General features: G+C 36.6%; 1 protein-coding gene across 24 annotated transcripts in view, besides 2 other annotated features; it reads right to left on the bottom strand.

Moving 5' to 3' along the window:
- Positions 1 to 13,708, bottom strand: part of TCF12 (transcription factor 12) — a 373,221-nt gene that overhangs the window by 151,736 nt on the left and 207,777 nt on the right. The window lies entirely within an intron of this gene.
- Positions 4,821 to 5,745: an enhancer, noted in NCBI's record as "VISTA enhancer hs623". NCBI's record gives its function as "enhancer in: forebrain[4/8]" and the evidence as "EXISTENCE:transgenic organism evidence [ECO:0001131][PMID:17130149]".
- Positions 5,815 to 6,529: an enhancer, noted in NCBI's record as "VISTA enhancer hs357". NCBI's record gives its function as "enhancer in: neural tube[6/10] | hindbrain (rhombencephalon)[6/10] | midbrain (mesencephalon)[9/10]" and the evidence as "EXISTENCE:transgenic organism evidence [ECO:0001131][PMID:17130149]".

Genomic DNA, 13,708 nt, shown 5'->3' with positions numbered 1-13,708 from the left:
TTTAGTTATGCAGGAGCAAAGCCCTATGTAATGAGTGATACTATTAATTTTTCCAGGGAAAAGGACTAAGATTCACTAAAGTTTGCCTAGTCAAGAGAATCTGTCTTCTGCTCCCAATTATCATAATCACCGCTAACACCCTTAAACTGTTTAGGGATGGATACCAACATGCAGCTGAAATCTAGTTATATGTATGATGATTTCTGAAACATCTATACAATAGAACATTAGGTCTTTGCTTTGAAAATTTAGTGTATGTAATTAATAGCCATAAAACGGATTATAAAAGACCATCATTCTTGTGGTACACATGAGTAAGAAATTTTAGAGCAGAGGAAAGTAAGGGGACAGAGATTACGAGAGCAAGAGGAAAGGATATTGGAGAAGGAAGAGTAACTAGAAAAAGAGAAGTCAAGGAGAGGTGAGAAGGGAGAGAGAAAAACAGACTGAGACTGACTGAGATTAATTTTGTCTAAATTATAGGCTAATGTGTTTGGGACAGTCTAAATATGATCTTATCTAGAGGACCTCTCAAGGTCCTTTCTGGAACTGGGATTATGTATAAAGCTTAATTTTAGCTCAAGTTCTCAACTGAAATAGGTAAATGATCTCAGCTACTGGTTAATTTAATCATATATTCACTTACTTAAATTTTTCTCAATTTCAGAAATATTAGTTACAATATTCTAAACCTAAAATTTTGATCATTTAGTAACAGCAAAACTCTTCATAACTGAAAACATCAATTGGTAGCACGCGCTTAAAAAAGAAATGACTACATAATGGCTTATAATGAAAATACCTGGTCATTTGCTTTTTATCTATGAACCCCAATAAACATAGTTAGGCCTCTTCTAGCTCTACCACTTTCTGCCTATTGCCTTATTTTAACTGTCTCCAAATGAACTCTTTTGAGAATAAGTGATTTTAAAAACAAACAGCTGCCCTGTTCCTACAACTGGCTGTTAGAATGGTTTATAAAGTGGAATATATGAATTACCCCTCTAAGCTTTACACTTTTCCTTTCGGTTAGATAGGAAACAGATCTGATTATCTGTGAAGTACTTGTCTGGAATAGCCATAGCAGTTGCCTAAATTTCCACTGGAGGCAGCAGACTCCCCAGGCAAACCCACATCCCATGACTTCTGAAGGTTTTAAGCCAGGAATGGTTAACAGGGTAAGAGAAGAAGGCTTTAAGATAAGGCACATTCCAAGCTTACAGAAAGCTTCTTCCAAGATCCGATTTAAACACTGAAACCCAGGCTCAGCTGTAGAGAAGCAGTGTTAAATGAAAAAACATGAAAAACAGAAATCTTTAGTTAACGCTGAAGTGTCATTTTAGACATGAGCATCAAAGTATAATTTCATGAAATATTTAGCCATCAGTGATATTAACAAGTAAAAGTAAAATGGAAAAACTGGAAATTCTTCTCTTTTGCCTGTCTTTGTTCTCTACCAAGGAGAGAACTGGCTTAAGGATGGGCCACTGAAAAGAGAAGAACAAGTAGAACTGGTGGTAATACTTTATTTTTTTTTTTTTCTTTTGAGACAGAGTCTCACTCTGTCAGCCAGGCTGGAGTGCACAATGGTGCTATCTTGGCTCACTGCAACCTCTACCTCCCGGGTTCAAATGATTCTCCTGCCTCAGCCTCTTGAGTAGCTGGGATTACAGATGCCTGCCACCATGCCCAGCTAATTTTTGTATTTTTAGTAGAGACAGGGTTTCACCAGGTTGGCCAGGCTGGTTTCGAACTCCTGATCTCGTGATCCGCCAGCCTTGGCCTCTCAAAGTGCTGGGATTACGGGCATGAGCCACCGTGCCCGACCTAATATTCTTTAAGTCTTTCCTATAAGCATAGTACCTCAGAATTATAATCTCTGCCAATATAAAAATAAACAAAACATTTGCAAATTATTACACTCTACAAGTGAAAAAAATCTAGATAGCAGTTGCAGAGTCACTGTATTATGGAAGCAATGCCACCACAACCAAATATCAATGGTTAAAATGTATTAAATCCTACAACGATTCCTACATTCTCAGTTAATCCACAAATATTTTTAGAAATAATATTTTAGGCAATTTAGATGAGTAACTTCTAAAATATTTTGTTTGAATACCATATTTTTCAATATAAGCCCTTTATACCTGTGTCAAACTTTTACCAAAGTGGAAAAAAATTTCATTATTCATTAATACATCCTTTGTAAATTACAGTATTTAAAATACATGGGGAAAAATGTGTTTTATTTATAAGCAATGCTGGATATCACATTAAGAAACACTGCCAGGGCCGGGCGTGGTGGCTCACGCCTGTAATCCCAGCACTTTGGGAGGCCGAGGCGGGCAGATCATGAGGTCAGGAGATTGAGACCTTGAGACTGGCTAATGCGGTGAAACCGCGTCTCTACTAAAAATACAAAAAATTAGCCGGGCATGGTGGCAGGTGCCTGTAGTCCCAGCTACTTGGGAGCCTGAGGCAGGAAAATGGCGTGAACCCGGGAGACAGAGCTCGCAGTGAGCCGAGATCGCGCCACTGCACTCCAGCCTGGGTGACAGAGTGAAACTCCGTCTCAAAAAAAAAAAAAAAAAAAAAAAAAAACAAAAAAAAAAACTGCCAGAAGCAGTGGCTATTGTCTATTGTCTGTGATTCCAGCATATTGGGAGGACAAGGCAGGCAGATGATTTGAGCCTAAGAGTTCAAGACCAGCCTGGGCGACATGGGAAATTGTCTCTATAAAAATTAGCTGAGTGTGGCAGTCCCAGCTACTCAGGAGGCTTAGGTGTGAGGATCACTTGAGCCTGGGATGTAGAGGCTGCCATAAGGCATGATAGCAACACTGCACTCCAGCCTGGGTGACAGAGTGAGACCTTGTCTCAAAAAAAGAAAACATCTATTACGAAATGAAGGAAAAGGGATCTTCAAACCTAAAATACTTATTTTGATGTCTCTGAAAATTTTATTGTTTCTTTGAGGGTAAGTTCACATATTTCCTTTATATGTATTAGTGTGAGATAATACACTAGAAATTGATAGCTATTTTTCATACCTTGGAATGTAGAAATAAGAAATATACGTCGATCTGTTAAAAGCTGTGACTTAAATCATGGGAATTATTGTTTTTGTGTTCAAACATTTAATCCATGGTTATGACAGGCCACTGTGACTTCATAAGAGAAATAAAGAGCAAACGTCTCCCAAGAGCAAAGAAAAAAAAGAAAACATGGCCTCCCAGCCTAGTTTCCTTCCCACTTCCAGTGTTTTTTGACACAGCAAAGATGGTTAAAAAGCTTGGCCTCTGACTTCTGTGTATGTCCTAGGTACTCAAAATAAACTTGCAAAGATGTCAGCAATTTTTAGTGTTTAGAAGCTGCAAGGGATAGCTGTCTTTATCTACTGTGCTCAGAGACAGCACATTACCTAATGTATCAAGGATACTGCAGATCAATAGTATAGATCAATGATTTTATTTAGACAAATTATAGATTTCCACATAATTTAATTGATGACATAAGCTCTATATTCCACCTAAACACAGAGTGGAAGATAAATGAAGATCTAAATTATTTAAAAAGAAAGTGAAAATAACCAAGTCAGCTAGTTTTTTTTAGCATTACAAGCCCATTTCATGAAAAAAAAAAAATCCAGATTTTTTCCCCCTCTAACACAGCTAGAATAGATGTCAGTTCTTAACAACAATGTATTTAAGCATTCTAGGTAACTAGCCTTTGGTTACATGATCATTCTGCCAAAGTGGCTTTTAGTTTTCTTATTCCCACCAGATAAATTAAGAGTAACTTTCACAGGGATACATATAAAACCAAGAAGCCAACAGTCAGCAACTTTATTACTGCTTGGCGAAATAACAAACCTTTTCTTCTATTATATGTGATATACTGCAGTTAAAGAAAAACTGGATACTTTTTTAAAAAGCTTTTCTATCTCAAATCTTACAAATCCAATTCATCTCAGAGAGGGCTACTATTTAATAAGCATTACTAAAATAATTTCATAATTGACACTGCTTGATCATTTATGTCTACAAACCTGAAACACCTTTAAGGTTGATACAGACAACTTTCTAATCTTGAGAGGAAAATTCATTTTGGATACTACCGTAAAGACAAAAGCAGTATCAGCTTATATACACCATGACTTTAATGTGCTAAATATACAAAAATAGTCTCTTTCATAGCATTTTACCAAAAAAACTGCTCAGAATACATGTTTTCATTTGAACAATTTTCCCTTCGTTTACTTTTTAATATTTTGATTCTTTTAAAAAAAGTTCTTTTTCCAATTACAGGAAGGAAATAAAAATAAATGCAACTCTTTTATGTAAAGTAAATCCATCTGGATGTTTGTTGCATCCCATACTACAAACCTGTGATCCCCAACCAGAATGAGTTATAGTAAAGCTGCAGGCAAAATTGTCTCCATATACCACAATCCATTATCCCTGTCAAGTTAATGTTCCATGTTGAGCCATATGGCATGGGTACACATTCAACAAAGGAAATTCCTTAAACTTGTTATAATCAGCACTTGCAGTCATCCAAAAAACTGACATAAACAGCTTTATTGTGTTTAGAGCATTTCAGTTAATATCCATGACAAAAACAGGAAACAGTACAGGAAAAGGAGGAGGAATGTGGGGGTGCACAGCTATTCAAAAAAAAAAAAACACAAAAACCCTCAAACTGTACATTTTATAATTAGATTTTTTTCCCTAAGCAAGTGATTTTCAATTACAGTAAGCTCCAACCTCTTGACAGTGATCCACTGGGCAAGATTTAAGAGAGAGGAAAAAAAAAATTAATGGCATCAGTTTTCCATGGTATGAGCAAATTTAAATCTTGAAGTCTTAATTGTATCTGATTCATATAAGCCATTTCTGGCAAAATAATGAATGATTTGAATTTTCATGTTTGTTTTCTTTCTACAGTTGTCTCATAATTGCTAAAATCTAATGGTGCTTCATTAAAAAAATAAGGCAATTTAAATAAAGAATCTTTATATGCATTAAGTGTAGGTCACAGATGAATCAAGGGCTCCCAGAAGCCTTTCGTACCTGGCACAGCCCTGCACATCAAATTCCAGTCAAGGTACAAGTAGAGCAGAACTTCATTTCAGCCCCCGCAGTGACAACAATAAAATGCTGAGAAAACACACTATCAAATACTGAACTCAGCATCAATTTCTGTTAATTACAGCCTTGTCAGCAACGTGATTATTCAAACAACTCATGCAAATGTTAATGAGGCCTTATTTGCATATTTATTTTTTCCTTTGTTGAAATGTCATTGATTATTACATTCTACTATGATGAATGTGGTTGATGATGTGCTCTGATATGTAATTAGTCATTAGGTGGAATGAATAGATCAATTATGAAAAAGGACTAAGATTAAGAAATATCAAACAAGACCGCCCAATATAACTATAGAATCTTTTAAAAAAAGAACCTAATAAATAATTTCTTGACATTTAAACTGCAACATCAGTAGTTTTCAATAAATAAACCACCACTCTTGTGAGGTTAAGTGAAAGCTTAAAAATACATCAGTACTCTGATAATCCAATTATGATCACAGAAACTATCTTTTAAAAAATTGCAAATCACTTCAAGTGGCATATCAAAACAACAAACAGCAAAAAAGAACAGATTTTGCTTTAAACTTGCACAAATTAGAAATACAGAAAGCGTAATCTATTATGAAGAGGAGGTAAAAATAGGTAAAAAGAGAAAAGCACATAACATCCTAGACAGAAGGAGTAGGAACCTGATGGAGAATGACTACCTTTACAAAAGGCAAGGTAAGCAAAAACAAACTCCTTCATATCCCAATTTGTTCTTAGAGGAAAAGGATTATTTAGCTTCTGAAACTGTTTGCTGTAACTATTCAGCCAGCACTTGCTATTCACAGATGGGAAAAAAAAAAAAAAACACATTACTGCAGACCAGATGGGAACATTCCACATGACCAAACCAATCAATCACCTCGGTGGGGCGCAGGTGCAACACAGCCGTGTAGCAACACACCATTTCACAGTCTATCGGGCACAAACACATGGCCACCAATCAATGGCACCCTGAGGACCTCGGAGGGGGCAGGCTCTCTGGAGTCTTACTGGTCCATGCCTGATGACTTCATAATCACACATCATTTCATTCACTAGAGGATACAAACTAGCATTCTAATAACCTTCTACTGAAAATGGTCATGTTGTGCATATTAATACAGGGTTGTTTCGAGTGAGGCAACTGACTTTACACGGCAGGCTAAGCAAGGCACGCAGTGCTAAAACAACCTGAAGCTAGAAACTTCTTCCTATTTGAAGATGGCTATTCTGTTCAGGCTCAGATCAATGGTAACATGATTCATTCTGCCACATCAAAGTTGGCATGCAAGGCTTGTATCCTACACAAAACAACTGTTAAACAATAGTATGAAACAAAGGAGGATGAAAGTAAAAATGGTAGTTGGTAATCTTGTATGAAGGATAAAAAGGCTTTGCATCCTTCTAAAATAACCTAGCTAAAACTGAATTGCAAATAAAAATTAGGTGACCATGAAAAAAATTTAAATGTAGAGTCACTGGCTTTGTTTTCCTCACATTCTCCTGGTGTGTGAGGGGTGACTCTGTATAGTGCATAATTACAAGAGAAGATAAATAGAACAATTTTCAGCAAACATTGCTATAATTAGACATAGGCAGAGCTCCATGATCTGTTAGGTAGCATCCACAGAGCTCTTGTCAGCTCCTTTTACTCAGAGAGGATGTAGGCAGGGATATCTTGGATAACTTAGTATTATGAATAACTGATTGACTATATGCCATGTACAGATGACACAATTTAAAAAGAAAAATCAGGAAAAATAGGTTTCATTCTTAAAAAAAGCAAACCAGCAAACTCAAATCCTTGGTGGGACAAGAATGGGCACACACGTGTTTAACCAGTAGATTTCTTTGATAATTCAGAGGGCAATTCGGCACCTTAAAGGTCCTTAGATTCCATTAGGAACATCAATCATCAGAGCCAGAAATCATGTGGAAACCAGTGTAACACACGTAGCTGAATCTGAATTGACCCTTTGACAACCCTGAAAGTTGACTTGGGTGATTAATTTTTGCTGCCAATATGTTTATTTGATCTCTCTCAAAAACAACATATAGAAAATCTAATTATTTCACATTTCAGATTAGGATGCTGGATACATAAGTATTTACTTGTAGATATAAATACTACACTTTGCACAAAAGGCTAATAGTGATTACATATTCTACAGTCTAAAAGAAAAAAATGTACACATTTGATGAAAATACGCCCACTACAACAGAGATTCCCTTTGGGAAAGAAATCTAGTGATTAGTCAAAATAAGATATTATTATTATTATACACTGTTTTGTTTGTTTTAGTGAGGGGGCTTGCTCTGTCACCCAAACCGGAGTGTAGTGGCACAATTTTAGCTCACTACTACCTGGAATTCCCGGGCTCAGGTGATTCTCCCACCTCAGCCTCCCAAGTAGCTGGGACTACAGGTACATGCCACCATGCCAGGCTGGACGATATCATGATTCCACAAAGAGAAAGCTGACAAGATAAACTCACTGGTGGTTTATTATACACCATTCACTTTAAAATGCATACCTAACTTCTTTTCCAAATCTTAGACTAGAAGAAGACATCAGACCCAAATCAGAAGACTCAGATTCTACTTCAGGTTCTTACTATTTGTTGTTTAGCCTTTATCAGATGAAATTATAACAATGAGTTCAATTTATTAATCTGTAGAACGATTAGAGAGGACCTTGAAGTTTCTCCTCATTTATAATCTCCCTTTGTGGCCTGACATAACTTTAAAGGCTCTGTCTAGTCATCTTCAGAGTATCATGTAGGGATGAACAGAGATCAAATGTGCCAGTTCCAAAAGTACAGCAGGAAAAGCATAATGAGATATACTTATTGTTATAAGTGGTCATTTAAAATTGATGATGAGTGATTGCTTTTATGAGGATACAAAGACAACCATTCCTTTGGTTTACAGAAGCATTAGTAAGTAAAAACAGTAATATTGGACTTAAAATTTGCTTGCTTTCTAAACAGAGTAACACCACCATTTGAAAAATGGTACAATGTTACCCACCCATCCCCCAAACAACATAATAAAAAGATCATAAAACCTCTCCAAACAATTTTCTGAAGTAACTAACACATAGGTTGAGCTTTCCATGCAATAGCTCGGTTAAAGCTCAAAATAATGCAGATTACACCCATTCACCAGAAATGGAAAAAACATAAAGAGCAGTGACTGGTCTCATCAAAGCAACAGGCAGAATTAAACAGCATTCAAAGCTGTTAACCACCAGGTTTACCTTGTGCGACCACCAGAAGACATTTTCTCTTTTTTGATTCCAAATTCAGTCCTAAGTGAAAGCACCTACGTTTGAACCTTTTGCCCCCAAAGACACAGGAAATATCTTATTAACAGTATGTCTGACAATAACGCTCTGAAAAGCAAAACAGAAAATGGAACCCTTGCTTTTTAACTACTATGAATACAGAATTAAATAAAAAATAATATAGAAAGGTGAGGAGGTGAGCTCTGGAGTCAGATAAAATTTAGTTTAAATCCCAATTCCATGACTTACCAATTTTGTGACTTTTGGACCAGTTACCTAAACTTTCTAAACTTTAATTTCCTGATATGAAAAATACATAGTAATTCAGGCAATACATACAACTCGTAAGTTGTGAAGATTTTATGAGCTAATATATGTAGTACTTAGCAACGTGTGTAACACAACAAGCACATTTTTCATTATCATTTAATATTAATAATTAAAAATAGACTAATTTGAAAACACCAAAACCAGAAAAAAAAGAATCTCTTTAACACTCTACTTTCAGTTCAGAAACAGTTCTGATCCCAACTCTGTTGTTTAAAATAACAGCACTTCACAAGAAAATTGACGGCTCTCTTCTGGTAATCAACAATAACTGGAGATGTTGGTCAATGAATTCCTCAGCTGGTCCCCTGATAATGCACTCTAGAGTATCTGAGTTTGCAAATCCTGCCAAAAGAGTAGGGGTTTCTCTTTTGTCTAAAAAGATTCTATTTTTTTCTTTCTCTGGAGTTGTGTGAAGTTAAAAAACAAAAACAAAAGTCAGTATGCACGTAATTTACAGATGCTGCCTCTCTAAAATCCACAAAAAAAAAATCAAAATGGTCAATAATATATGTCAGTGGTCCTGCTCACTATAAACTACATATAAAAACAGGTTAGCTTTAAGGTAATAACATCTGGAAACCAGAGTTCTTCAACCATTCTAGCTGAAACAGTCTTTGGTGGTCATGCATCAAGACATTCATCCAAAATTGAGCCTTTCATCTGTTACAGACATTTTATCCTAGAGAGGTCAAAGTGTAAGGAAAACACAGTTCCTTAGGCACATTACATTTCAAATGAATCTAAAGAGACAGTCTATTAAATTCGATTCCTTGAAAAGGTTTCTTTAAACAAATCAGCTATTTTTGCTTTTACAGCAAAGATATAAAAGACAGTATCATATACAGTAACTAAGTTTACCTACTCCAAGGAGCCATTTCACAGTAGAGGAGCATAGGCAAAAAGGAGGGGTTGTTGGGGGAGTACAGTGTTGAATCTAGCACGAATACAAAAATCTGCATTTGAATCTAGCGTTCACAAGCTAACTGTAAGATGAACCCTGGTGAATTACTTGTATGTCTTCTCTCTAAGCCTCAGTTTCTTCATCTGTGAAACTGGAGAAGGAATGGGAAAGAAGAAATTAACGTTTAATAAATGTCTTCTAAGTGTTAGGCCCTGTGCTGGGGGATTAGATACATCTTTTTATTACATCATTCTCAAAAATAGTGCAAGGCCAGAACCACTATCTCCATTTCAGAAATTAAATCACTAAGTCTCAGAGTTTCCTCCAAAGAAGATACACAAGTAGTCAATAAACCCATGAAATTATGCTCAATATATATTTCAGACAGGGTTTTACTCTGTTGCCTAGGGTTGGAATGCAGTGGCGCATCACAGATCACTGCAGCCTTGACCTCCCCAGGCTCAGGTGATCCTTCCACCTCAGCCTTCCAAGTAGCTGGGACTACAGGTGCGTGCCACTAAACCTGGATAATTTTTCTAGAGATGGGGTTTTGCAATGTTGCCCAGGCTGGTCTCGAACTCCTAGGCTGAAGCCATCTGCCTGCCTCAGCCTCCCAAGGTGCTGGGATTATAGGCATAAGCCATAGCACCCAACCTATATTCATTATTAGTCATTAGGGAAATGCAAAACCTCAGTGAGGTTTTCACACCATTAAGATGGCTAAAATAAAAGGAACAGACGCATGTTGGCAAAGATGTGAAGAAACTGGAACCTTCATAAGTTGCTGATGGGATTGTAAAATGGTGCAGAGCCACTTTGGGAAAAAGCCTGGCAGTTCCTCAAATGGTTAAACACCAGAGTTATATTACCTGGTAACTCCACTCCTAGGTATACACCCAAGAGAACTGAAAATACGTCCATACAAAAACTTGTACAGCAAATACACAGCAATATTATTCATAATAGCCAAAGAGTAGAAGTACTCCAAATCTCAGTCAACTGATGAACAGATAAATAAAAAATGGTATATCCATACAATGGAATATTATTCAGCTATAAAAAGAAATGAAATATTGATTATGTAACATAACACAGATGAATCCTGAAAATACGCTAAGTAAAAAGAGTCAGTCACAAAAGACCACATATTATGTGTTTCTATTTATATGCAATATCCAGAATAGGCAAATCTATACAGAGAGAAAGACAAACTGTTGCTAGGAGATGGGTGAAGGAGGAAATAGGAATTGACTTCTAATAGGTACGGGGTTTCCTCATGGGGTAACCAAAATGTTCAGAAATTAGTGGTGATGGTTGCACAACTCTAAATATACTAAAAACCCTTGAATTGTATACTTTAAAAGGGTGATTTTATTATATGTGATATATTTCAATAAAACTATTATTAAAAACACTGAAGTACAGAGCAGAATTGTGGTTACTGAGAAGGAACCAAAAAACCCCACTGAATTCTAAATATTTTAAAAAATGGCAAACTTCTCACATAGTGTTATGAAGATTAAATGAACAGAGCAAAAGCACTTTGCGTGGTGCCTAGGATAAATGAAGGTTCTTAACGAAATGGGACCTCCTTTTTCCTTTGTCAAATGCGGTAGAAGTTAAACATGATCTTGATTCTAACTTGAGAGCTTAATAAAGCTACCTGTTTCTCGTCATCTGATTAGCGAAAAAGGAGTACAATTACATGTTTATAGATGTACAGTAGGAAAATCAGTATATACCTATCATTAGTATAAAAGAAAATGGACTTACTAACAGCCCACACTTGAAGCGGACATACATATAATGAAAATATACTGAAGACAGCCAAATGAGTTATGTACAACTGCACAGAACTCCAAGGGATCCCCTCCAAATGAGTCAGTCATGGATCATCTCAGGAACAATGGAGTTGCATCCATGAACATTATATCCCCCTTTTTAAAAAAGAACATTACTGTTAAATGAATTTGGTAAGCTCATAAAATTGTTCTCATTTCAGAATTAGATATTCCGATGTCCAGGGACAGTATTTAAATGTTAAAACAAACAAGCAAAAAATGTGTGTTTCATCCCATTAGATGGCTCGCCCGAGAATTCTAACAGTGATCAAAACAGGACCCTACATGCCAATTAACTCATCAACCGACGTAATAGTGAAGAATAAGTAGGGACAGCTCTTCCTATGGGGCACCATAACCTCTAGAAAGAGTTCTCTGTATCTATTCTTACACTTTCACTGGGAGTGACTAATTTGAATTATTAGGTAAATAGTTTTTACTATTGATTACTATATACTCACACTCATTCACTCAACATTTCACAAATGGTCAACTCATTCTCAAACTCAGTAACAGGACTCACTTTGTTTAAATCGGTGCAGGAAGCACTGGGAAGATACTCAGAATCCTGAAATGTAAGGAGATGAAAAAATTTTCTATATAAACGGTGATGGTATTTATATGATAAACGCTACTCTATTATAGGTTGCCTTTACTTGTGTGAACTATGAATGACCAAAAACTATTAATGATGAAAATATTAACCATTTTTGTCTCCTCAAAGTTTAGCAGAACTTCTTGTATATTGTAATTGTTTTATAAATATTTACTGGATGTATGAATAAAAAAAAAGAAGAAAGAGTACAAGCGGGCCAGGCAAGGTGGCTCACACCTGTAATCCCAGCACTTTGGGAGGCCAAGATGAATGGATCACCTAAGGTCAGGAGTTCGAGACCAGCCTGGCCAACGTGGTGAAACCCTGTCTCTACTAAACATACAAAAATTAGCCAGGTGTGGTGGTGGGTGCGTGTAATCCCAGCTACTCAGGAGGCTAAGGGAGGAGAATTTCTTGAATCCAGGAGGTGGAGGTTGCAGTGAGCTGAGATCACGCCACTGCACTTCAGCCTGGGCAACAGAGCAAGACTCTCTCTCTCCAAAAAAAAAAAAAGAAAAGAAAAAAAAAGTACAAGTGAAGAGTAAGAAAGAATATATATTTATTGTTTTGATTTGTTTCCATTAAGAAAGGACCCTACCCATGTTCCCAAGACACAAAATAGCCACATTGGACAGATAAAATTATGGCCAATTACAAAGAATCTTGATAATCTTATAGTTTCTGTGTACTGCCTTGTCATAGAAAATTTCCATTAAACATTAACATGTAGCATAGAGATCCTCACTGTGACCTTTTGAGAATCACTGGGGAGACCAGATATTAAGGGAGATCAGATAATAAAGCAAGATTGGTAGTAAACCAAGATTGGTAGATGCAGGCTGGTTTAGGGCACATCAATGACAGAAAGATGGAATCTAACTAAGGAGCCAAAGACTGACATTATCAGAGAAACATATTTAACTTCAGCAACTGAGGTTTTTCCAATATGTAGATTAAAGGAAGGGTTTTAGTTTTTTGTTTCTTAAAGCAATATGCATGAGAAATGATTCTCCAATAGGACTGACACAGAGCATGTTATACTGGAGAGGATGGAGAGTAGAGATTATGAAATCTGAAAAATTCAGTTACCTTTTTGGTTTTATAATGCAAGTAGAAGGCTCAACCAAATTTTTGCTAATAACTTTATAAGGATGATTCAACAAAGAAGCACCTCTGGAAGAAAAACACTGTACTTATGACAAATTACTATGGACTGTTGAGGTCTCAATTTAAAAAATCAGATGCTTTGTTTTTTTTGAGATGGGGTCTCACTCTGTCAACCAAGCTGGAATGTAGTGGCGCAATCTTAGCTCAGTGCAATTTTCTCCTCCTGAGCTCAACTGATCCTCTCATCTCAGCCTCCCAAGTAGCTGGGACTACAGGTGCATGCCACCATGCCCAGCATTTCTTTGTTGTTGTTGTTATTTTTAGTAGGGACGTGGTTTCATCATGTTGCCCAGGCTGGTCTCGAACTCCTGAGCCCATGCAATCTGCCTGTCTTGGCCTCCCAAAGTGCTGGGATTACAGGTGTAAGCCACTGTGCCCAGACCTAAAATCAGATTCCCTACACACAAAATCTAAGTATGATAAACCTAAAGATTATAAAATACCATATTCACTGGAGTTACTAG

The sequence above is a fragment of the Homo sapiens genome, chromosome 15, assembly GCF_000001405.40.
Source record: "Homo sapiens chromosome 15, GRCh38.p14 Primary Assembly".
Lineage (NCBI taxonomy): Eukaryota > Metazoa > Chordata > Mammalia > Primates > Hominidae > Homo > Homo sapiens.
This window is presented reverse-complemented; position numbering and strand designations above follow the sequence as displayed.